At 35.5% G+C, this 26,780-nt stretch overlaps 1 protein-coding gene, 1 long non-coding RNA gene and 1 pseudogene across 2 annotated transcripts in view, besides 2 other annotated features; 1 reads left to right on the top strand and 2 right to left on the bottom strand.

The window, feature by feature from the left end:
- Positions 1-26: 26 nt before the first annotated feature.
- Positions 27-16,541, top strand: LOC124902895 (uncharacterized). Its single transcript, XR_007063239.1, has 2 exons — positions 27-112; positions 16,291-16,541. It is a non-coding gene; the product is annotated as an uncharacterized LOC124902895 (long non-coding RNA).
- Positions 530-1,030: an enhancer, noted in NCBI's record as "H3K4me1 hESC enhancer chr12:21402494-21402994 (GRCh37/hg19 assembly coordinates)". NCBI's record gives its function as "activates a minimal SCP1, AML or CMV promoter by ChIP-STARR-seq in naive H9 embryonic stem cells {active_cell/tissue: H9 hESC(naive)}" and the evidence as "EXISTENCE:reporter gene assay evidence [ECO:0000049][PMID:30033119]".
- Positions 10,794-26,780, bottom strand: part of SLCO1B1 (solute carrier organic anion transporter family member 1B1) — a 108,603-nt gene continuing 92,616 nt past the window's right edge. The window contains exons 14-15 of the mRNA NM_006446.5: positions 25,751-25,868; positions 10,794-11,611 (exon numbers count right to left, since the gene is read on the bottom strand). Coding sequence (NP_006437.3) covers positions 11,401-11,611; positions 25,751-25,868 — 329 coding nt within the window. The 3' untranslated portion in view covers positions 10,794-11,400. The remainder of the gene's footprint in view (positions 11,612-25,750; positions 25,869-26,780) is intronic.
- Positions 15,858-17,057: an enhancer, noted in NCBI's record as "CDK7 strongly-dependent group 2 enhancer chr12:21386467-21387666 (GRCh37/hg19 assembly coordinates)". NCBI's record gives its function as "activates an origin of replication core promoter dependent on BRD2, BRD4, P300/CBP, MED14 and CDK7 cofactors, with strong dependence on CDK7, by STARR-seq in HCT116 cells {active_cell/tissue: HCT116}" and the evidence as "EXISTENCE:reporter gene assay evidence [ECO:0000049][PMID:35650434]".
- Positions 19,134-19,309, bottom strand: LOC124903123 (uncharacterized; annotated as a pseudogene).

The raw sequence follows: 26,780 nt of genomic DNA, 5'->3' as shown, positions 1-26,780 counted from the left end.
AGCTGGCATCATTCAACAGTTACTAAGCACCTCCCAGGAGATGCTATTCTAGTCATGTTCTTCAGCGTAAAGAGATAAATGATGCTTCCTCTCAACTGAGTGACTAGAAGAAGTAAGTCATTTAACCTTTCTTAGCCTCAGTTTCCTTGTTTGCTAAGTGAGGATAATAATATTCATCTCATATGTTATGAAAATCTTCAACACAATGAACTAGCACTGTAAACCTCAATTTTATTTACACGTAGTTTCCCTTTAAAGATTGTAGGAGAGTTACCATTTATTAAGGTTCTCAAAAGTATTCAAGAACACTTATAAGATTAAAAGGGGTGGCTGGGCGCAGTGGCTCACGCCTGTAATCCCAGCACTTTGGGAGGCCGAGACGGGCAGATCGCGAGGTCAGGAGATCGAGACTATCCTGGCTAACACGGTGAAACCCCGTTTCTACTAAACAAAATACAAAAAGTTAGCCGGGCATGGTGGTGGGCGCCTGTAGTCCCAGCTACTTGGGAGGCTGAGGCAGGAGAATGGTGTGAACCCAGGAGGCAGAGCTTGCAGTGAGCCGAGATCCCACCACTGCACTCCAGCCTGGGCGACAGAGCGAGACTCCGTCTCAAAAAAAAAAAAAAAAAAAAAAAAGACTAAAAGGGGCAAAAAATTAAGTTAACCTTAATATAATAAAAGTTAAACATATAGTTATTTTTTAGAAGACCAAAAAAAAAAAAAAGGAAACTCTTTTAGCTGTGCTTTTGCAAAGGACAGTAACAATTTGTTAGCCCGGTAGAGGGCACTGAGGACAGTGAAGCCATGTCTGCTATTTAAGGAAGAAGATTCTTTCATAAGGAGATTGTCAAGAGGAAATCATCAGGAAGGGGAAGTTAACTTATCTAAGGGAGATTTTGGGAAGGGAGAGGTTGCAGTTCATTCCTGGTTGTGTTCTCTGATAAGTGCCTGACATGTATTTGTCATTGTAATTGATTTTCAGTGGTGGTTGTACCCTGTCTGCAAACTACACACACAAGAGGCAAGCTCACATTTGTTATCAACTTCTATTTTTACCCAGGGAAAAGGTTAGCATGCAGGAGAACTGGGGGACTTGCAGGTAGGGATAGTATTTTCCTAAAAGTTGGCTTAAAATCTTCAACAATTCAGTGGAAATGATGGATGTGTGTGATATAGTAACATACATATACAATAACAATCACACACTCACTTCTACATTCACATGGATGTACACTCACACTATTCTCCTCATGCTAATACTCAAATGCCCACTCACATGCACACACCCATGCATCGTTATCATGTAAGATGTTTATCATTGTAATGTGACTCCTGCTTTACATGTGATATTGAGCAGCTCTGTATTTTGATAGAACTCTCACAGGATGAATTCATCACTAAAGCACCCTGTGAAGCTAAATGTGCTATTTCATTTAATTACTAAAGGATATATTCTTAATACAACAGATGTAATTTAAATTGATACTCTGTTGTTCTCACTAATGACAATAAGCCATCAGGACCTGCTGTTTCTTGAGATGATTTTCAGTTAGATCTAATAAAAACCTATCAATAGGCAGTATAGATAGGGAATGCTTGTCTTACTGTTTGCAAAAGATGGACAAAAACTCTAAGTCATTTCACAGCTGACCCAGATCATTGAAATGTAAATTTTTAAAAGTTTTAAAACACTGCCCTCTTTAGGACTATTTAAGATTAACATTTTGTTAGTCATAAGCTTACATGATACCCACATCTCTGTGAACAGCAAGATCCCAAGATTTGGGATGGAGCAACTCAAGCTAAGGGCCCACATACACGCTAAAAGGATGGAGTGGAGCTACCATCAAGTTATGCCTTATGCAAATAAGATGCCCACCCCTCATTTGTTTTTTTAATAAAAGCCTTTGCATTCAACTGTAAAAATGGCAACACTCTTCCAGGCCCCCTCTCCACAGTGGAGGGCCTTCTGCTTTAGCTTATTAAGCTTGCACTCCAACATCACCCTTGGTGTCTGCACTCCTTAACTTTCCTGGTCGTGAGACAAAGAACTCCTGGGTACTACCTTAGGCAACAAGAGACTGCTACATTGTGGTGCATTGGCGAGACTGTAACAATGTGATTTTCAATGTTGCAGGTAGGGACTGGTTGGAGGTGATTAGATCATGGAATTTGATCCGTCATAAATAGATTAGCACCATCACTTAGTAATCAGTGAATTCTCACACAGTTAGTTTACATCAGATCTGGTTGCTTAAAAGAATGGGATTTCCCCTCTTCTCTCCCTTTTGCACCTGCTCTCACCGTGTGACATGCAGGCTTCTTCTGTCACCTTCCACCATGATTGTAAGCTTCCTGAGGCCTCATTAGGAGCAGACGCCACTATCATGCTTTCTGTAAAGTCTGCAGAACCATGAGCCGATTAAACCTCTTTTCTTCATAAATTACGTAGTGTCAGATATTTATTCATAGAAAAGCAATTACACTAATACTTGAAGTATGTTATTTCAATGAATAATTTCAACTGTAATGGGAATGGGAAGATGCAAGTTCTATTCCATCAGTCTGTTTTGTGCTTGTGGCTCTCTCACTTCCACTCACAGAGTCATTATTGTCAATTTTTTTCAATAGGAATTTTGGACATTCTTTCCAAGGAGTTGAGTCTCATGTAAATATTCTCAGGACCAGGCAAAATTTGAGATTATTTCCTTCTTAGGATTATTTAGACACTTTTAATCAATGAGATTGTGTTGTTTTTAATTATTTTATTTTATTCGTGGTTACATAGTAGACATATATATTAATGGGGTATATGAAATATTTTGATACAGGCATGCAATGTAAAATAAGCACATCATGGAGAATGTTTTATTTATTCCCTCAAACGTTTGTCCTTTGGTTTATAAATAATCCAATTACACTCTTTCGATTGTTTTAAAATGTAAAATTAAGTTATTATTGACTATAATCATCCTGTTGTGCTATAAAATATTAGTTCTTATTTATTCTTTCTGTTTTTGTTTGTATTCATTAACCATCCCCATCCACCCCCTACTCCCACTACCTTTCCCAGCCTCTGGTAAACATTCGTCTACTGTCTGTGTCCGACTGTTTTGATTTTTAGATACCACAAATAAATAAGAACATGTGATATATCTCTTTCTATGCTTGGCCTATTTCACATAACACAATAATCTCCAGTTCCATCCATGTTGTTGCATATTACTGAATCTCATTTGTTTATGGCTAAATAGTAATCCATTGTGTACATGTACCACATTTTCTTTATTCATTATCTGTTGATGGATACTTAGTTTGCTTTCAAATCTTAGCTATTGTAAACAGTGCCACAACAAACATAAAAGTGGAGATATCTCTTAGATGTACTGATTTCCACTCTTTTGGGTATACACCTAGCAGTGAGATTGCTGGATCATATGGTAGCTCAATTTTTAATTTTTTGAGGAACCTCTAAACTGTTCTCCATAGTGATGGTACTAATTTACTTTCTCACCAATAGTGTACAAGTGTTCCCTTTACTCCACATCGTCACCTGCATTTGCTATTGCCTGTCTTTTGGATTTAAGCCATTTTAACTGGGGTGAGATAATATTGTAATTCTGATTTGCATTTCTCTGATGATCAATGATGTTGAACACCTTTTCATATGTCTCTTTTCCATTTTCATGTCTTCTTTTGAGAAATGTCTATTCAGAAATTTTGCCCATTTTTGGATTGGATTATTACACTTTTTCTTACAGTTGTTTGAGCTCTTTATATATTCTGATTATTAATCTTTTGTCAGTGGGTAGTTTGCAAATATTTTTCTGCCATTCTGTGGATTGTCTTTTTGCTTTGTTGATTATATCCTTTGCTGTGCAGAAGCTTTTTAACTTGATGTGATCTCATTTGTCCCCTATTACTTTGGTTACCTGTGCTTGTGTGGTGTTTCTCAAGAAATTTTTGCCCAGACAAATGTTCTGGAAACTTTAAATCTACGAATCTACAAAACTATGAAATTACGAACCTCAAACTATGAAACTACAAAAAGTTGCATGACATGTCATGAAATAAAAAGTTTCATAGTTTGATGTCATAGATTTAAGTCTTTAATTCATTTTGATTTGATTTTAGTTAGTTGATATTGTGAGAAATAGGGATCTAGTTTCATTCTTCTGCATATAGATATCTAGTTTTCCTAATTCCTGAAGAGACTGTCTTTTCCGCAGTGTATGTTCTTGGCATCTTTGTCAAAATCAATTCACTGTAGGTGTGCAGATTTGTTTTTGAATTCTGTTTTATATTCCATTTGTGTATGTGCCTATTGTTATGCCAGTGCCCTGCTGTTTTGCCTGCTACATTCTATAATATAATTTGAAGTCAAGTAATGTGATTTCTCCAGTTTGTTCTTTTTGCTCAGGATGGCTTTGGCTCTTCTGAGTCTTTTGTGGTTTCAGATAAATTATAGGGTTGTTTTTTCTATGTCTGTGAAGAACATTGTTGAGATTTTGACAGAGATTGCATTGGATGTGTATATTGCTTTGAGCAGCATAAATATTTAACAATATTGATTCTTTTAATCCATTAACATGGAATATCTTTATTTGGTATCCACTTCAATTTCTTTCATCAGTATTTTATATTTTTCGGTACACAGATCTTTTACTGTTATGGTTAAGTTATTCCTAGTATTTTATTTATATATATGTGTGGCTATTTTAAGTGGTATTACTTTTTAAATTTTTTTCACATTGTTTACTGTTGACATATGGAAATGTTAGTGATTTTTTATATGTTGATTTGTTATCCTATAACTTTACTGAATTTGTTTATCACTTTTAACAATTTTCTTGTGGAGTCTTTAAGTTTTTTAAAATATAGGATTTTGTTATCTGCAAACAAGTAAAATTTGACTTTTTTTCTTTCCAATTTGGATGTTCTTTATATCTTTCTTTTGTTTAATTGCTCTAGCTAGGACTTCCATTATTATGTTGAACAACAGTAAGGGAAAGTGGGTGTTCTTGTTGTGTTCCAGATCTCAGGAAAAGAGACTTTCAGGTTTTCCCCATTCAGTATGATACTAGCTGTGGGTCTGTTGTATATGCCTTTTATTATGTTGAAGTATGTTCCTTCTATAACAAGCTTTTTTTCAGAGCTTTTAATCATAAAAGAAATGTTTAATATTACCAAATGCTTTTTAATTATCAAGTGAAATAATCATATGCTTTTTATCCTTTATTCTGTTGATATGATGTAATACATTGATTGATTTGTGTATGTTTAAACATCCTTACATCCCAGGGATACATTCTACTTGGTCATAATAAATGGCTATTTCAAATCTATTGTTGAATTTGGTGTTCTAGTATTTAATTGAGAATTTTTGCATTGATATTTATCAGAGATATTGGCCTGCAGTTTTTGTTTTTGATATGTCTTTGTCTCATTTTTGACATCAGTAATACTAGCTTTGTAGAGTGAGCTTGGAAGTATTTTCTTCTCTTCTATTACATGAAATAATTTGAATACGATTGCTATTAATTCTTCTTTAAACATTTGGTAGAATTCAGCCGTTAAACCATTGGATCCTGCACTTTTCTTTACTGGGAGCCTTTTTGTTATGGCTTTGATCTTGTTACTTGTTTTTGCCCTGTTCAGTTTTTGGATTTCTTCTTGGTTCAGTCTTGGTAGTTTGTATGTATCTAGGAATTTGTCCATTTCTTCTAAATTTTCCAATTTATTGGCATATAGTTGCTCATAGTAGCAAATAATGATCCTTGGAATTCCTGCAGTATCAGTTTTAATATATTTTTTCATTTCTGATTATATTTATTTAGATATTCTTTTTTACTCTTAGTCTGTCTGAACATCTGTCAATTTTAACTTTTCAAAAAATTAACTTTTTATCTTTTGTATAGTTTTTTATAATTTCAATTTTATTAATTTCTGCTCTGACCTTTATTATCTTTTTTCTTCTAATTTTGGGTGTAGTTTACTCTTGTTTTTCTAGTTGTTTAAGATGCATTGTTAGATAGTTTCTTTGAAGTTTTTTCTCCTGTGGCGTAGGCACTTATAACTATAAACTTCCCTGTTAGTACTGCTTTTCCTCTATCCCATAGATTTTGGTATGCTGTGTTTCCATTACCATTTGTTTAAGAGTTTTTTCAAGATTATTTTTAATTCCTTCAAAGCCCACTGGTCATACAGGAGCATATTGTTTAATTTCCATGTAATTTGTATTGTTTCCAAAATTTCCATTGTTATTGATTTCTAGTTATTTTATTTTGTCCAGAGAAGATGCTTGACATTATTTCATGTTCTTTCAATGTTTTAAGATTTGTTTTATGACTTAACATATGGTCTACCCTTGAGAATAATTCATGTGTTGAGAAAAATAATGTATCCTGCAGCTCTGGGATGAAATTTTCTGTGAATATCTATTAGATTCATTTGGACTATAGTAGAGATTAAGTCTGATGTTGATTTTTTGTCTGGAAGATTTGTCCATAATGAAAGTGAGGTGTTGAAGTCTCGAACTATTATTGTATTAGGGCCTATATCTCTCTTTAGCTCTAATAATAGTTCCTTTATATATTGGAGTGCTCCAGTGTTGGGTGCGTATGTTTTCAAAATTCTTATATCTTCTTGCTGAGTTGGCCGCTTTGTCATTATGCAATGACCTTGTTTTTGTCTTCTTACAGTGTTTGTCTTACAATCTATTTTGTCTGATATAATTATAGTGACTCCTGCTCTTTTTTAGTTTCCCTTTGCATGGAATATGTTTTCCCATCCCTTTATTTTTAGTCTATGTGTGTCTTTATAAGTGAAGTGTGTTTCTTAAAGACAATAGATCATCCTATACAGCCCGTGAAACCATGAACCAATTAAACCTCTTTTCTTTATAAATTACCCCATCTTTGGTTCTTTTTTATAGCAGTGAGATAACTGAATAAAAAAGACAATTTAATCCATTTACATTTAGTGCTATTATTGATTAGTAGAGACATACTCCCACCATTTTGTTATTTGTTTTCTGGTTGTTCTGTGGTCTTTTCATCCTTCTTTCTTTCTTCCGGTCTTCTCAAGTGAAGGTGATTTTCTCTGGTGATGTAACTTATTTTTTGCTTTTTATTTTTTGTGTATCTATTGTATGCTTTTTGGTTTGAGGTTACCATGAGGCTTGCAAATACTATCTTATAGCTCATTATTTTTAACCTAATAATTTAACACTACTTACATGAACAAACAAGCAAAAATCAAAGTAATAAATAATCTATGCCTTAACTTTATCTCCATGCTTTTTCACTTTTTGTTGTTTCCATTTATAGCTTACTGTACCATGTCTTGAAAAGTTGTTGAAGTTATTATTTTTGATTGGTTCATCATTTAGTGTTTCTACTTAGAATAATAGTTCACATACCACAGTTAAGGGGTTATGACATTGTGTTATGCTGCATGCTTACTATTACCAGTGAGTCTTGTACCTTTAGGTGATTATTTATTGTTCAATAATGTTCTTTTCTTTCCATTTGAAGCACTTCCTTTAGCATGTCTTGTAGGATGGGTCTGGTATTGATGAAATTCCTTAGCTTTTGTTTGTCTCACTGAGTCTCCATTTCTTCTTCATGTTTGAAGGATATTTTTCTTGGATGTACTATTCTAGGGTAAAAGCGTTTTTGTTTGTTTGTTTGTTTTGTTTTGTTTTGTTTTTTTACTTCAGCACTTTAAATATGTCATGCCATTCGTGCCTGTAAGGTTTCCAGTAAAAATTCTGTTGCCAGAATTTTGGAGCACCACTCTATCTTAATTGTTTCTATTATCTTGCTGCTTTTTGGATCATTTTTTAAATTTTGACCTTTGAGAGTTTGATTATTAAATGCTTTGAGGTAGTCTTCTTTGGATTAAATCTGCTTGGTGTTCTATAACCTTCTTGTACTTGGATATATCTCTCTCTAAGTTTGAGAAGTTCTCTGGTATTATCCCTTTGAATACACTTTCTACCCCATCTCTTTCTCTACCTCCTCTTTAGGGCCCATAACAGATATGCTCTTTTGGGTCTATTTTCCACTTTCTGTAGGCTTGTTTTATTGTTTTATATTCTTTTTTTCATCTCCTCTGACTGTGTATTTTCAAAAAACCTGTCTTCAAGTTCATTAATTCTTTGTTTTGCTTGATAAATTCTGCTATTAAAGGATTCTTATTCATTCTTCAGTATACCAATTGTATTTCTCAGCTACAGAATTTCTGCTTCATTCTTTTCAATTATTTCAATGTCCTTGTTAAATTTATCTGATAAAATTCTGAATTCCTTCTTTGTGTTATCTTGAATTTCTATGAGTTTCCTCAAAATAGCTATTTTGAATTCTCTCTCTGAAAGGTCACATATCTCTGTTTCTCCAGGAATGGTTCCTGGTGCCTTATTTAGTTCATTTGGTGAGGTCATGTTTTCCAGGATGGTGTTGATGCTAGTAGATATTTGTCTGTCTGGGCATTGAAGAGCAAAACACTTATTGTAGCCTTGGCTGTTTGGGCTTATTTGCAGCCATCCTTCTTGGGAAGGGTTTCCAGGCATTTGAAATAACTTGATTATTGTGAAATAAGCTGTGTCTGCTTTAGGGAGCATCCCAAGCCCAGTAATGCTGAGGTTTTTGCAGACTCGTAGAGGTACCGTCTTGATGGTCTTGAACAACATCCAGGAGAATTCTATGGATTTCCAGGCAGAGATTCTTGTTCTCTTGCTTAATTTCTCCCAAACATACAGTCTCTCTCTCTATTCTGAGCCAACTAAATCTAGGTTTGGAGTGGCGTAAGCACCTCTGTGGCATCCAGAACTATGACTACATTGGGTTACACCTGAAGCCAGCACATTTATGAGTCTTGCCCAAGGTCTGCTGTAATTACTCCCTGACTACTGCCAATGTTTGCTCAAGGCCATGGGGCTCTACAATCAGCAGGCAGAAAAGCCAGCAAGGCCTGTGTCCTTCCTTTCAGGGTGGCGAGGTCCCCCAGGTCCCATGTGGGTCCAGAGATGCCATCCAGGAGTCAGAGACTAGAGCCAAAACTCGTAAAGTCTACCTGGTGTTCTATCATATTGTGGCTGAGGTGGCACGCAAACCACAAGACCGTCTTTCCCACTCTTCCCTCGCATTTCCAAATACAAAGGAGCCTCAACCCATAGCCACAACACTTCAGGCCCACAGGGAGTACTGCTAGACTACTGCCAATGTTTCCTTAAGGCCCAAGGGCACTTTAATCAGCTTCTATTGAATTCTGCCTGAGGTGGGATTCAAACTTCAGAACAATGGGCTCCCCTCTGGCCGAGGGCAGGTTCAGAAATGCTATCCCAGAGTCAAGTCCTGGAATCAGGGACCTCAAGAGTCTGCTTAGTGCATTAACCCCTGTGATCTTTCTGGTATCTGAAGCCAGCAAGACTTGGAGGCTCACCCAAGGCTCTCAGTGTAGTACCTGGGTATCAATATTATTGTTTATTGTTGATTAATAAGAGACATACCAGTCTGATGATTGATTTTTAATTTTTACCAAAGCCATTTATGCACAAAGTTGTAAAAATAAGATTATATCAAAAATCTCATATTGAAAATGAGTTTTTCTCTGCTTATTATTACTGCTTTCCAGAGGCAAGCATTTACAACTCTTTTTAGCTATTTCTTCTATTTACCTCCATATTTCTAATACTTTTAAGTAGAGGTTGATCCTGTGATCCTGCTAGTTTTTATTCCTGGCATACTTCATTTTATTGAACTTCACTTTATTGCACTTCACATATTTTGGTGTTTTTTTTGTTTGTTTTTTGTTTTCAAATTGGAAGTTTGTGGCAATCCTGCATCAAACAAGTCTATTGACATCATTTTTTCAAAAATATGTGCTCACTTTATGTCTCTGTGTCACATTTTACTAATTCTCACAATATTTCAGACTTATTCATTGTTATTGTATCTGTGATAGTGACCTGTGGTTAGTGATCTTTGATGTTACTATTGTAATTGATTTGACTTGCCACTATCCATACCCATATAATACGTGGAACTTAATCAATAAAGTTGTGTGTGTTCTGAATGCTCCACCAACCAGCTATTGCTACATCTCTCTCCATCCCCTTGGGCCTTCCTATGTCCTGAGACAGAACAACATAGAAATTAAGCCAAATAATAACCTTACAATGACCTCTAGGTGTTTGAGTGAAAGAAAGAGTCACATATCTCTCATTTTAAGTCAAATTTTAGAAATGATTAAGTTTAGTGAGGAAGGCATATCAAGAGCCAAGGTAAGTCAAAACTAAGCATCTTGCATTCAGCAGTTAGCCAAGTTGTGAATGCAAAAATAAAGTACTTGAAGATAATTAAGAGTCCTACTTCAGTGAACACACAAATAATAACAAAGTGAAACAGACTTATGGCTAACATGGAGAAAACTTCAGTAGCCTGGATTGAAGAACAAAGCAGCCACAATGTTCCCTTAGGCCAAATCTAATCTAGAGCAAGGACATAACTCTCTGTCATTCTATGATGACTAAGAGACGTGGGAAAGCTGCAAAAGAAAAAAAGCTGTAGAATTTGTTTCACGGGGTTTAAAAAAAGAAGCTGGTTTCATTATCTAAGTACAAAGTGAAGAAGCAAGTGCTGACGTAGAAGGTGCGGCAAATGATCTAGGAAATCTAGCTAAGATAAGTATGAGAGTGGCTACATTAGTCAAAGTCAATTTTTCCTAATACATTACCGTGGGCCCACTGGAAACTTAACACATAATGTAATATGTTGTTTGACAATCACAGCTTGCAAATATTGGAATGTCTTTATTTCTTCCACAATACTTAAATGTATTCTAAATTTACTTAAACAAGATAATTGTTAATTATACATTGATAAAGTCTGTGAAATATATAATTTTATGTGAGTAACAGATATTATTGTAGCATATATCCAAGCTAGACTTCAGGCCTTAGTATTATAGTTCAAACTCTGTGTTTGTTTGTTTAATAAAATAGACACTAGGCATTTCTCTTTACTTAGGATATGAATCTAGCTCCTCCTTTTTAACCTCTACCTGTATGATACTCATTTGTTTTATTAAGAATTAGAATTACCTGAACAAGTATTTTTTCTTTTATTACACAGTAACCATGTCTCTCACTTTAATTTGTATGGATCATATAGTCTAACCTTAACCACAAATATGTAGCTATAATGTAACAATGAGTACTCTCATTTTTTCTACCTACAGTTTGTTTTATTATAAGTTCATAGGCTTATTTATACTTCCACCATAAAAGATGTGGAAATTCTTAGTGAAAGGACCAGGAACTCCTCAAAAATAACATCTTACTGAATCAATGCAATGCTGTTTGGAAACACAGAAGCAGAAGTGGCTTTTTTTCTCCCCTTAACAATGTGTTTCACTATCTGCCCCAGCAGAAGGGACAAAATGTTTATTTTTATTTAAGGATTCTAAGTTTGCTTCATCCATGACACTTCCATTTTCTGATGCATTGATATCTTTCTCTTGATATTTTTTCTTCATGGCATAAATTAATATAATATATAAAACAAGTGATGAGACTCTTAACATTGAAGACAAGCCCAAGTAGACCCTTCTGTAGAAATAGAGAAAATAAAACAATAAATCAGTTTAAATTGTGTGTAATAACTTAAAACATTTTCTCCAGTATCCAGATCCTAAAGAAAAAAAATTATAAATAAAATATTAAGACAATAATTCTAATAATTCTTTTTATTGGGGCATAACGATAGATATTTTATTATTGTAATAGGGTTATGAAGCCATAGAAACTATACTCTAGTTGCCTCTGGCCTTCTTCATAAAACGAGAAAAATATACAACTCAAGCCCTGTTAAGCCATCCTGCCCCACCTACAGCTGGGAGGAGAAACTGAGAAGTATGTTTGAAATTTATAATCCAGAGGTTACTGGATTATAACTAAAATAATAAAACCTAAATGTAGGCCTGTAGAATGCTACCCCTTCTCCAGCACCTTACACCATATTAATAAAGGCTTATCAAAGCAGTTCCTTTTACCTAATGCATTATGCTTAACTGTAATGAAAAAAATTGCCAGTCATACCAAAAGTGAAAAAAAAAACATAGATTGAAAGGAATAAGTAAGCTTTAAACCAGACCTAGATATGTCCGGGACGTGGAAATTTTCAAAATGGAATTTAAAACAACTATGATTAATATGTTAAGTGTTCTAATCAATAAGGTAGACAGCATTCAATAACAGATGGACAATGTAAGTATAAAAATAAAAATTTTAAGAACCCAAGAAAATGCTAAAAATAAAAAATTCTGTAGCAGAAATAAAGAATGCCTTTGATGGGCTTATTAGTAGATAGAACACAACTGATGAAGACTCTCTAATTTGAGGATATATCAATGAAAACCTCCAAAACTGAAAAGCAAAGAGAAACAAGACTAAAAAGTAAATCAATTGAAATCATATAAAAATTTTGAGACAATTATATAAGTGGGTGTAATGGAAAGGTTAGAAGGAAAACAAAGAGAAAAGGAGCAAAAGAAACATTTTTAAAAAATAATTACTGGCCAGGTGCAGTGGATCATGCCTGTAATCCCAGCACTTTGGGAGACTGAGGCAGGCAGATCACGAGGTCAGGAGTTAGAGACCAGCCTGACCAACATGGTGAAACCCCGTCTATACCAAAAATACAAAAACTAGCTGGGCGTGGTGGCGGGTGCCTGTTATCCCAGCTACTCAGGAGGCTGAGGCAGGAGAATCACTTGAACTCGGGAGGCGGGGGTTGCAGTGAGCCAAGATCATGCCATTGCACTCCAGCCTGGGCAACAGAGTGAGACTCCATCTCAAAAAAAAAAAAATTACTAAGAATTTCTCTTAAATTAATGTCAGACACTATATCACAGATTCAGGAAACTCAGAAAATGCTAAGGATTTGTCCTTTGAGTTACAAACAATTCAACTACACTTCCTAAGTTATTTTTAAATATACAAATAAGTTATTATTGACCAGAAAAACTACGTGTAGGTGTGTTATTTTCAAATTACAGAAAGTCAAAGATAAAGAAAACTTTATCCTGAAACTAACCAGAAGGAAAAACAAATTTTATCTATAGGGGAGAAAATAGACTTCTCTTCAGAAACCATGCAAGCAAGAAGAGAGTGGAGTGAAATATTTAAAGTCTTAAGAGAAAAAAATCACCAACTTAAAATTCTGTACTCTGTGAAATTCTTTTAAAAGTAAAGTAGAAATAAACACATTCTCAGACAAACAACAATTGAAGAAATGTTTTTCCAGTACATCTTCCTTGTAAGAAATGTTAAGAGAAGCTTTTTAGAGAGACTCATATAGGTCAGAAACTTGATATACATAAAGAAAGGTAACATAAAAAGTTATGATTATATAGTCATATAAAATCAGAGTCATATAGACTATTTAGTTAAGAACACAACAGAAGAAAAAAGAATAGAAGACAAAAATAGGATCAAAGAACAAGTATAACAAATAGACAATAGTAAAATTATAATCAACATTGGTCTCACAACATCAGTAGTCACTTTTAATGTCAATGATCTAAATCCACCAATTAAAAGACTGAGTTTGTTAAAGGATTAAAAAGAAGAAACAAACTATATGTAGTCTCTAAGAGATCTACTTATAGATGTATAGATTAAAAGTAATTAGATGGAGGAAGATATATCATGCTGCCACTGATAAAAAAATAAGTCAAGTTCTTTTCAAGATGGCTGACCAGGGACATCAAATTACAGTTCTCCTCAGAAAGAAGATCAAAGTTACTGGTGAATAAAGAAGTACCAAATAAAAAACTGAGAAAGAGAGCCAGGAACTGTTATAGTGCCCATAAGAAGCAGCTGTGGTGTAGTAAAGAAAAGCGGTAAAAGCCTGGTAATAATCAACCCCCAGAGAACCCTGTGAAAATTTAGCTGAAAGTGCTTCTCTGCTCCCCTCACATCTCTGATAATCTGCTGACCACCAAATTGTTAGGAATTTCCTCTGCCCTCTTGATGCAGGGTAATGCTATTGGTGGCAATTTGGGAACTCCCCAGGGATAGACAACTAGGTGGCCAGCCTGCACAGGTACAGCTGCACCACCTTTCTATCTAAAGGAAAGATGTGCCATACTGTTGGTGCATCTATGGTATGCCACCGCCCTGCCTGAGGATTCTCCATCTTTGAGTCACCATGCCACCCAATTCCTGGCAAACATGTCCAACAAACTGCTCTGACTTTGGTAGGCACAGGGGTCAGTGGACTTTGGGGAGACAGCAGGACCTCTGGAGATCTAACCCTCAATGTGTTCTTCCCCTAAAAGAGTGGGGACTGTAGCCCACTATAGCTTCCCCTGGGACAAAGAGAACATGGGCACAGCACCAATTACTGAAGGAGGCAGTACCAACACTCAGGAATGAATCTGGATAGAGGGTAATTTCCCACTCTCTCCACTGTACACTGTTGTGGGTGCAACAGTGTATGAGATACTATACAAAACATACTATAGTATGAGATACTATACAAAACAACCATTCAGATACTATATGAATATAGTCATCAGATTGCCTAAGTTCAACATGAAAAAACAAATCCTAACGGCAGCTAGAGAAAAGGGCCAAATTATTTATGAAGGAAATACCATTAGACTAAAGGTGAACTTCCCAGCAGATACATTACAAGCTAGAAGAGACTGGGGGCCTATTGTTAGACTTACAAAAGAAAAATAATAATGACAGCCAAGAACTTCATAACTTCCCAAATGAAGATTTGTGAATAAAGTAGAAATAAAATATTTCCCAGACCAGTAAACACTAAGGAAATATGTCACCACCAGATCAGTTTTAGAAAAAATGCTCAAAGGAGTTCAAAACAGGAAAAAACAGACCAATACTTGCTACTATAAAAGCACCCATAATTACAAAGCCTACAGATCCTATTAAGTAACTACACAATTGCAACTATAAAGCAACTAGCTAACAACAGTATGAGAGGTACAAAATCTCACATATCAATATTAACTTTGAATGTAAATTGCCTAAATGCTTCATATAAAAGACATAGAGTAGCAAAGTGGATTAAAAAAAAAAAGGCAACCTTCTGCTGCCCTTAAGGAATCCATCTCGTATGTAAGGACACCCATAGACTTAAAGTAAAAGAATGAAGAAAGATCTATCTTTCAAATGGAAAGCAAAAATAAGCTGAAATTCCTCTCTTTGTATCAAATAAAACAGACCTTAAACAAACAACAGTTTAAAAAAAACCAAGTAAGTGCATTACATAATGATAAAGCATTTAATTCAACAAGATTTAACTAATCTAAATATATACACACTCAATACTGAAGCAATCATATTTATAAAATAAATACTACCAGACCTAAGCAAAGAGATAGAAAGTAATACAATGAGTAATAAGCTTCGACACCAGACTGACAGCACTAGGCAGGCACATCATCAAGGCCAAAAGCTAAAAAAAAAAAAAAAAAATTCGACTTGAAGTAGACTCTTTACCAAGTGGATCTAATAGATATCTAGAGAATACTTCACCCAAAAATCAGAGAAAATGCATTTTTTATCTGTTCATAAAACATTCTCTAAAACTAACCACATTCTAAGTCATAAGTCACAATAAATTTTTTAAAAAATCAGAGTTATAACAAACATCTTCATGAACCACAGCAGAATAAAAATAGAAATCAGTATCAAGAGCAACTCTTGAAACTACACAATTACAAGAAATCTGTATAACTTGGTCCTGAATTACTTTTGGGTAAATAACAAAATTAGAGCAGAACACAATTTTTTTGTTTTAAACAAATGAAAATCGAGACAAAGTATTTTAAAACCTCTAGGATATAGCTTCAACAGCATAAAGTGGAAAGTTTATTGCACTAAATGCTTATGAAATTTTCACTGCAAAACTATAACCGAGACTGAAAGAGAGCTGACCTAACCAACTCCATCTTGCTTCTATCCTCCAAGCTGTTCTTGTTGATTTCTGGGTGTAAGCCGAACTAATTCTGGGAGAAATTTAGTTTATAGCTTCGAGTTTAAAACCAAGACAGTAACAGTCCTTTCCCAAAACAAACCAGCTTCTTGCCTGGGAAACAGACTACCTTTGTAGGACTAACGAATTAGCCAAAAGATTAGAAATTATGATTTAGGAGTAATGCATCTGGAGGCTACAAGATTCTGACTCTAACCAAATTGCTCCTGAGGATAACAGCACTATTGTAAAACCTAAGATCAATACTTGATATATTTTGCAGATCCTGAACTTCACAGATGAGCTCACACCACCCAGATTGATAAACTGGCCTATCTCATCCTGTGGCCCCCTCCCAGGAAGTGACTCAGCACGAGAGGACAGTATCAACTCCCTATGATTTCATCTCTCACCTGACCAATCAGAACTCTTGACTCACTGGCCCCCCTACCCACCAAATTATCTTTAAAAACTCCAGTCCTCAAATTCTCAGAGAGACTGATTTGAATAATAACAAAACTCTGGTGTACTGCACAGCTGGCTCTGCATGAATTACTCTTTATTGCAATTTCTCTGTTTTGATAAGTAAGATCTTTCTTGATAAATAAGCTCTGTCTAGGCAGTGGGCAAGGTGAACCCGTTAGGTGGTTACACACTAGGGGTCTCATCTGGGATTGCCTTTGTGCCTACCTGCCCATGGTTCAGTAGCCCTGCTCTGGTGATGGATCCAGAGGCCAGCCCAAGTGGCTGCCTAGTTCTCTTGGACTGTGGGCTGACTCTGGCACTGTCTCTACTGGCAGGGTGCTGCTGACCCAATGTGCATGGATTTAATTGCAATGGAGAAATAGTTCCTGGAAATGATGTCTGTCTCCAAACTAATTTGGTGAGTATTCTAGGCACTGCCAACTCCTCCTTTCTTCTCCCAGTTGGTTTGGCTCCTTTGGGGATCATGATTTGGCTTCTTTAGGGGCCTTGGTTTGGCTCCTTTGGGGCTCTTGTTTTTTTTTTTTTGTTTGTTTGTTTTTTTTTTGAGGTCTCAGTTCAGCTCCTTTGGAGGTGTTGGTTAGCTCTAATTAGTAGGAAGTCTTGGTTCAGGAGATTTCTCTTCAATCAAGAAGATTTTAGGGAGAATTCTCAGGTGGAGAATAGAAGGTTCGTTTGGGAGGAAGACTCGGAATTCTTGGTTAGAAGTCGTGGTTTGGAAGGCCTTCTGTCTGTCTTGTCTTTGTTGTGTGTATTTGTATATGTGGAGGAGACCTCTAAAGGAACTACTGATGGAAGTCTAGGACACCTAACTCAGAAAACCCTCATTATTTGTCTGGTCACATTCAGTGAGTCCTGAAGGAAGCTCAAAAAGGCCTGAGTCGGGGTGACTGTCCACTTCTTCATCTTGCCCAGAGACCTGAATTCTCAGTTGGAGTTTAGCCCTCCACATCTTGAGTGGATCAGAGATGATAGGGACCAATGAAAGAAAGTTTGAGCCTCGCCAGGTCAATATTGGGTGCTGAATGAGGTGACAAATGTCTGTTTTGTTATGTGTATTTTGCTAGGCTGGGGTGGAAAATGTTAATTTGGTTCCTCATGCAGCCCATTGGGCAGCATCTTGCAAAAATGAGAAGCTTTTGCCTATAGTTTTATAAAACAGAAAAGGATAATTTTCTTTTGTAAAGTGGCTTGGCCCCCAAAGCTATGGTGCAATGAGCAGGGTCATCAAAAGCCACTTCATTCTTCTGGAAGCTGCAGAGAAAGGGAACCCAGAAACGTGGTATGCTGGCAAAAGGGGTAAGAATTTGTTACCAGCCAAGCTTCTGGTCTCTGTCTCTCTGTCTCTGTCTCTGTCTTTCTCTGTCTCTCTGTCTCTCTGTCTTTCTGTCTCTCTCTCTCTCTCTCTGTGTGTGTGTGGTCTGATTAATAGAAAAATGAATTTTTGAGACTAGTCTTAGGCTTTAGCAAATCTGGTGTACTTTGTGCTAAGAATTTGTCTTTTAGTGTTGTTCTGTAATGGAGAGGGGTGTCATAGGAAAGAATGTAGAAAGTAGGCTTAGGATTCCTATAAGCCTACTTTTTAAGCCAGCCTCTTGGGCTGGTCGGTTACAAACTTTGCTGTGTGTTCCTGAAACCTATACTGGATGAGGTTTCCCTCTCATCTTGTTTTATGTCCGTGGGAGCTTGATCTTGTAACTATGTGGCAGTACTTACTCTTGGTCTCTGCCATCTAGAGGACAGGAATTTTGTAGTTAATGTCATAGTTAGCTCTAAAAATTATCTCGAGCAGTTAAAAGCCTTTGCAAGCTTGAAATCGGTTGCACTGGAATCCTTCTGGGAAAGGTAATGAAGACTATCCAATGCTATAGCTCAGAAGCTAAGAGTTTGTCTTTTCACAATGGTGGCCTGGGACTCAATTCTTGGCCCAGGGAATGAATGCTTTCTGATTTGATATTCTTGTGGCTTTTTCCATTTGTTGATTCTCTGCTCCTCCATGACCAACTTCTGGCTTCCCTTCTTGAATTTTCGTTTCTGTGAGTTACCTTTGAAGATTCTAGATCTTGTAAAAACTGCTTACCACCTATTTGAAAATACCTCATACACTCATGGTTAAGTTACAACCTCAGTTAAGGCTTATTTATTTCACCTAGGAGATTACTATTTCTAAAGAAGTTCAAAAGCCAGAAATACTGGCTGTTTGGCCTTGCTAAAGTCAGATAATAAGAGATATAAAGGATTTTTTTTAAAGGGCACTATAGCTAAAAGTCAGCTTAATTAAAAATGGATATCCAAGTGCTCTCCCATACTCTCTCTCGCTCTCCCTCTCTCTTTACAGACACACATATACGTTTGTGTGTATATATACATACACATATATACATGTATATATAGCATATACATATATACACACATATATACATATATGTATATATATGTGTGTGTGTCTGTGTGTGTATATATCTATATACAAGACCTTTGTGCTTTTTCTCTTCTTGGATCTTGTTTTTTTGAGAAGTTTTTATTTATTTATTTTTCTCACTTGAGTGAATTATTTCCTCAGTCTGTCTTTTTGCCCCTCTTGATGACCACATGAAAGGAACTAAGTTCATTTCTAACAGACGAGGAGTCCTTGGGAAAAATAGGAGGTACCATTTTTGGGAAAAAGCTCTGATTTCCTCATGGAACCCCAGGCATTGAAGGAGGATAGAACTCTCTAAAAATGAATCCATATTTAATAACCTTCTAAAACAGAAAGCATCAAACTAAACTGAAAAGAACAGATACTATACTTGATATTAGCCAAAAAGCCAAGTTTGTTTATTGCTGCACTATTCACAATAGCAAAGACTTGGAACCAACCCAAATGTCCATCAGTGATAGACTGGATTAAGAAAATGTAGCACATATAAACCATGGAATACTATGCAGCCATAAAAAAGGATGAGTTCATGTCCTTTGTAGGGACATGGATGAAGCTGGAAACCATCATTCTCAGCAAACTATCACAAGGACAAAAAAACCAAATGCCACATGTTTTCACTCATAGGTGGGAATTGAACAGTGAGAACACTTGGACACAGGAAGGGGAACATCACACACTGGGGCCTGTCGTGGGGTGGGGGGAGGGGGGAGGGATAGCACTGAGAGATATACCTAATGTAAATGAGTAGTTAATGGGTGCAGTACACCAACATGGCACATGTATACCTATGTAACAAACCAGCACATTGTGCACATGTACCCTAGAACTTAAAGTATAATAATAATAATAAAAAAGAAAGCATCAAATTAAGATAGGTTCATTGGTGAATTCTATCAAACACTTAAGTAAGAAATTATACCAAATCATTACAATCTTCTTCAGATGATAGCAGCAGCAGAAGTACTTCCTATTTCATTCTGTGAGGCTAGCATTATCCTAATAACAAAATCAGACAAAGACATTACAAGAAAAGAATACTACAGAGGGCTGGGCATGGTGACTCACACCTGCAATGCCAGCACTTTGAGAGGCCGAGGTGGGCGGATCACCTGAGGTCAGGAGTTCGAGACCAGCCTGACCAACGTGGAGAAACCTTGTCTCTACTAAAAGTACAAAATTAGCCGGGTATGGTGGTGCATGCCTGTAATCCCAGCTACTCGGGAGGCTGAGGCAGGAGAATCGCTTGAACCTGGGAAGCGGAGGTTGCGGTGAGCCATGATCGCACCATTGCCCTCCAGCCTGGGTAACAAGAGCAAAACTATGTCTCCAAAAAAAAAAAAAAAAAAAAAAAGAATACTACAGAGCAACTTCTCTCATGAACATAGACGCAAAAATTCTCAAAAAATATCAGATTGAATCCAACAATGTATAAATATAGTATACATCATGACTAAGTGGGATTTCCCTCAGGTTTCCAAGACTGGTTCAACATTCAAAATGAATTCTTACAGTTCATTACATTAACAGGCTAAAGAAGAATAATAAAATGACATGATCACATCAATAGATCTAGAAAAGTGAATTTGCAAAATCAAACACTCATTTATAATAAAAACTCCCATTAAACTTGGAATAGGGGAGAACCTCCTCAACTTGATCAAAAATATCTGCCAAAACCCTACATCTAACTTCATACTTAATAGTGAGAAACTCAAAGTCTTCCCACTAAGGTCAGGAACAAGTCAAAAACGTCCCCTCTCACCACTGTTTTTCAACATGGTACTGGGAGTCGTAATTAATGTAATTTTTAAAAAGAAAAGAAAATGAAATGTATATAGATTGAAAAGAAAGAAATTGTCTTTGTTTGCAATATGACATAATTGTCTAAGTAGAAAGTTTAAAATAACAGACAAAAACACACTTGGAACTAATAAGCAATTATTGCAAGGTTTCAGGACACAGGATCCAGGGTTAATATAACAGAATCAAACATCTTCATATATATCATCAAAGAAACATGAAACTTGGAAGCCATCAAGATGCCCTCAGTAGGTGAATATATAAATAATCTGTTATACATCTAGACAATGGAATATTATTCAGCAATAAAAAGAAATGAGCTATCAAGCAATTGAAACACCTGGAGGAAATTTAAATGCATGTGATTAAGTTAAATAAGCTAGTCTAAAAATGCTACATACTGTATGATTCTGGAAAACGCAAAACTATGAAAACAGTAAAAAGCACAGTGGTCTCCAGGGGTTTTAGAGGAGGAAGGAATGAATAGGCAGAGCAGAGGATTTTTAGGGTAGAGAAACTACTTTGTATAATACTGTAATGGTGGATATATGTCATTATGCATTTGTCCAAACCCATAAAAGTACAATGTCAAGAGTGAAACCTAATGTAAACTGTGGACTCTGGGAGATAAAGATGTGTTAATGTTGTTTCATCATTTGTAACAACTGTATCACCCTTTGTTGGGAGACATTGATGGTAGGATAGGCTATGCATGTGTGGGGCAGGTGGTATGTGGGAAATCTCTGTAATTTCTCCTCAATTTTACTGTGATCCTAAAACTCTCTAAAATTGAGTTTATTTAAAAAATTCTTAAGGTAACAATTTAACTTTTTATGTATTCATTGGTAAATGCACTGCTCTTTTTTTTTTTTTAAATTCCACTTTACACAATCAAGCAAAGAACACAAGTGACCAAAAGGAAAGTGATAAGGGCCATGAGTTAGCTACAATGTGGTAAGTCCCAAAGAGGGTTGGTCATTTCCAGCTGGTTGGAATGGTGTGAACTTTATGAAAGAAAAGGGTGTGTGAGCTAAGCCCGGAGCATTTCCTGGCAGTTAGAAGCCTAATACTTGTCTTAGTTGGCTAAAATCAAGGTATCAGCAGGGCTGTATTCCTTTCTGGGACCTCCAGGAAATAAGCTGTTCCTTCGCTTTTTCTCACTTCTAGAGGCCACCTACATTCCTCGGCTCCTGGCCCCTTTCTTCCATCTTCAAACCCAGCAACAATAGACTGAGTCTTTCTCACATCACATCCTTCTGACCTCCTCTTTTTATTTTTTAGGATATTTGTGGTTATATTGGGCCCAACCAAATAATTTTCTTATCTTGAGTTCAGCTAATTAGCAAACTTATTCCATCTGCAACCTGAACATAGTGTAATTACAGATTCCAGGGATTAAGACAAGATATTTAAAGAATCCACAGAGGAGTGAGGTTACCTTAAAGGAACAAGAAAACAGACAACAGCTTACTTATCAAGAGTAAAATGGAACTTAGAAGACAATAGAGTAATATCTTCAATCTGACAAGAGAAAATAGTTGTCAATTTAGAATTCTATACCTTGTACATTTCTTTTAAGTATACAGTTGAACTAAAGTTCCTTCCAGAGAAATTTAAATTGGCAATTTGCCACTAAAGAGCTCACTGAAAGACATTTTTAAAAATCGACTTTAATCAGAAGGAAAATGACCCTAGATAGAATCTGACATGCAAGAAGAAATCAGAGAAAAGAAAATGATAAATATGTGGGGATGTACAAAGACCGACCCTTTAAATCTTAAAGTCTTGGGATGAGCATAAATTAAAGTACACAAGAATAACATATATATAATATGTCTGTCTTATATATGCATATATATGCATATTAAATATATATAGTACACATATACACTATATAATGTTATCACAATGGTCTTTGCAGTATATTAAAAATTTGGATACTATACCAGTTGTTCAACAAGAAGAATGCATTAATAAATCAATTAACATAAAATATTTTTAAATTCCATTTTAGTTCTAACTAAACCTTCACTGAACAAAAAGGAACTAGTATGGCTTAAAAAATAGTTTTAGGGTCTTTTTATACTCAAACCATTATAAAGCCATCTCAAAATGTTACATTAATACTTGAAGTTGTGGTCATTGCTTTGGGGAAATTCTGAGGAGCATCTTGCCAGGTGTCCTGGAAATACATGATGATTTCAATAAAAAATGAACACATTCTTAAATAAAGTCATTAAGATAAATTTATGAAGTTTTCATTTGTAATTTCTTTTCATTTCTTTCTCCCATTTTGTGAGACATTTTCTGTCATTAATATTTAAATAAATTTGTGAGAATGTCTGTGGGGTACAATTCTGGAAAAAGTTGGATCATTTTATCTGCTGGGGATTTTAGATAGTGAATTTACACATTAAATGGAAGAGAGTCTGTTTGGTAAATTTGATCCTAGGTCTTTACTCCAGAGATGTATCCTGAACTAATAAACCTCCACTTTCATATAAATGATAGCATGCTCCATACACATTCTTCATGGTTCTTTTTTTTCATATAAAAATATGTCTTGAAGAAGGTTCCATATTAGTAAACAAATAATTTTTTCTTCTTTTTTCAAGACATCAGACTATTCATTTTCCTGCAGGTAGAACTATTTATCTAATTACTCCCTTATCAAGAGATATTTAAGTTGCTTCCAATATTTTGCCATCATAAACAATGTTGCCATACACATGTATGTAATCTTATATATGTGCCATTTTATCTATTTGGGAGTATAGTTATCTGTAGGATAAATTTCTAGAAGTTTGCTGCTGGCTCAAAGTTCTGTACTTTTGCCAAGACAATGTCTACTTAACATTTTTGATGGTTGACAATTTGGGTGAGTTTTAATTGCAATCCTGTCATTATCAATTAATTTGAGCATCTTTTTATATATTTAATAGCCATTCGTGATTTTTTCTTTGGGAGATACTTGATTTTTTTTAATAGAACATACTTTTTACAGAAATTTTAGATTTACAGAAAAACTGTACAGAAAGTATGAAGTCCCATATACTCCCCGCCCCACACATACAGTTTCCCCTATCATTAACAGTTTGTATTAGTGTGTAACTTTGTTACAATTGATGAACCAATATGAATGCATTATTATTAAATTCATATTTTAGATTAGAGTTTGCTTTTTATGTGGTTTGTATGTTGTATGGGTATGGGTCCATAGGTTTGACAAATACATAACATCATGTATCCAACATGATAATATCATATAAAATCATTTCACCACCCTTAAAATGCCCTGTGCTCCACCTACTCATCCTTATCTTCTCCCCACTGAGCTCCTAGCAACCACTGATGTTTCATTGTCTTCATAGTTTGGCCCTTTTACAAAAGGTCATACAGTTAGAATAATACAGTCAGAAGCTTCTTTAATTTTTTTTAATGTTCTTTTTTTTTCTTTTTTTGAGACAGAGTCTCGCTCTGTCAGCCAGGCCGGAGAGCAGTGCCATGAGCTTGGCTTACTGCAACCTCCGCCTCCTGGGTTCAAGGGATTCTTGTGCTTTAGCCTCCCAAGTAGCTGAAATTACAGATGTGCACCACCGTGACTGGCTAATTTTTGTATTTTTAGTAGAGACAGGGTTTTGTCATGTTGTCCAGGCTGGTCTTGAAATCCTGGCCTCATGAATCCTCCCACCTTGGCCTCCCAAAGTGCCTAGATTACAGGCATGGGCCACTGCACCAGGCCCAGAAGCTTCTTTAGACTGCCTTCTTTCACTTAGCTACATGCATTTAATTTCTTTCTTGTCTTTTTGTGAGTTGATAGGTCACTTCTTTTTATTGCTGAATAATTTTCTATTGTATGAATATACCCCAGTTTGGCTATCCATTCACCTATTGAAAGACATCTTGTTTGCTTCCATTTTTTCATATGCAAGTGCAGGTTTTTGTGGGGTCATGTTTTCATCTAACTTAGGTAAATACCTAGGTGCATGATTACTTAACAGTATCATAAGCCTGTGTTTTTCTTTGTAAGAAACTTCCAGACTGTCTTCTACCATGGCTGTACTATTTTTTACATATCCACCAGCAATGAAAGAAAAATTAAAGGAAATTCCTGTTGTTTTGCATCCTTGCCAGCATTGGATGGTTTTTTTGCTGATGTTTAAGAGTTCCGTATATATTCGGGATATTTGCCTGTGTCTGTGTTACAAGTTGCAAATTATTCTCCTAATTTATACTTTCACTTTGAAATTTCCTTTTCAAAGTTTAATGATGCAGATTTTATAAATATTTTGTCTTTTTTTCTATTATGGTTTTGGGCATTTGGGTCATACTTAGTTTCTGCTTCGTAGATAATTGAAAGAAATTATACTATGAGTTTTAATACATGTAGTTTCACATTTCAAAGTGTATAATTTGTCAATATATGAATTTGAAATTAGTTTTTTTTTAAAGAGGTAAAGTATAATTGTAGCTTTTTGTTTTTCCAGATGCCCATGCAGTTATCTTCATGTCACTTACGGAATATCTCTCCCCACGAATAGAGTAATATAGAAACATATTTTCCCGTTTTTTCTTAATTGACATATGACCAGAGCCCCAGCTAGTCATTCTGTTTCTTTCTAGAGAAGTCAGAGGCAATCGAATACACACACATGCATATATATATGTCTGTGTCTATATTTACATGTGTATATTTATCCTTATATATACTGACATGAGGAGAGTTTTGGAAACAAAAAAGATTCACATACAAATCCTAGCCATTTTCTATTATCTCTGATTTTTGACAAGTTGGTTATTATCCTTGAATCACAGTTTCTTCGTATATAACAGAATAGAAGAAAATATCCATTTCCTATAGTTTCTATGAGTACTAAAATGAGATACGAGATTGCTTGATACCATACTGCATGCAAAGTCAGTTTTCATTAAATGGTGGCTATCATTATTAATATTATTATATAATGAAAATGATATTTTTTAGGAATTAATATAGTCAAAGAAAAAATAATGAAATATATTTATGACAACTTACGAAAATGATGTGGAATTATATGTCCTACATGACCCACGTGTGCCACAGTTGTTGGTGGACCACTTTATACACGTTGTATCAATCAGAGCCCCAAAATATATTGGAGCTAGAATTCCTCCTGTAATAGGAGAAGAGAAGATGTCAGTTTAGGGAACATATTTTAAATGTAACTGCATGATATTCCACATTGATATATTTTGATTAAATAAAAGTTCAAAAATTTGGAGGATTCGTTTATTATTTTGTTCTGCATCTACCCAATAATAAAGATTATTAGAAATCTCAAAGACCCAAATCATGTAGTAATGTCATTGACACCTTTTACCTACTCGTACCCTCCCTACATACATGCATATATACTCTGTTCTTCTTATGATAACAATTAACTTAAGCCTGAATGGTAAAAAGGAGAATGTTGTTAGTAAAACTTGGAAGTTATGTTGGTTAATATGGGATTTTTCTTAGGCAAAGAAACCTGAAATGGAGTAGAATTACAATTTTATGGGGAAAGGAAAAAGATCTTGGCTCAATTGCTGTAAAAGCAGACTTTTTTTTTTTTTAACATTATTTTAAGAGAATTTAAAAGTGAGTGCTTCATCAGAACTCCCTCCCCAGATAAGTATAGGCTGAGCTTCAGAGAGTGCTTAGCTTTTGGCAGGTTGTACTTTTTTCTGGGCTCAGACATCTACTTCCCACTTATTGATGTCATTAGAGCTCACAGTCCAGTGATTTTCTACAATTGATTTTGTGCATTTGTAAATACCTCCTGAAGCAGCTTAGGCTAAGTTAGGGCTTGTGGTACTGAATTTTGTTTGTGTTAGTGTTCTGATCACAATGATAAGTTTTCAGTGGTCTTTTTCTTAGTTAATTTTTATTTGTAGCTCATGATTTAGCAGAATGCAAGGCTTTTCACAGACAGATATGTTGTTTATATAATAAGTGTCCATCTGCTTCCACTGCTGTTTTAATGAACTCTGAGATTCACTCCTGGTTCTAGGCAAAGGTAATTTGATGAAGAATTTTAGGGACA

This window comes from Homo sapiens, chromosome 12 (genome assembly GCF_000001405.40).
Source record: "Homo sapiens chromosome 12, GRCh38.p14 Primary Assembly".
Taxonomy (NCBI): domain Eukaryota; kingdom Metazoa; phylum Chordata; class Mammalia; order Primates; family Hominidae; genus Homo; species Homo sapiens.
This window is presented reverse-complemented; position numbering and strand designations above follow the sequence as displayed.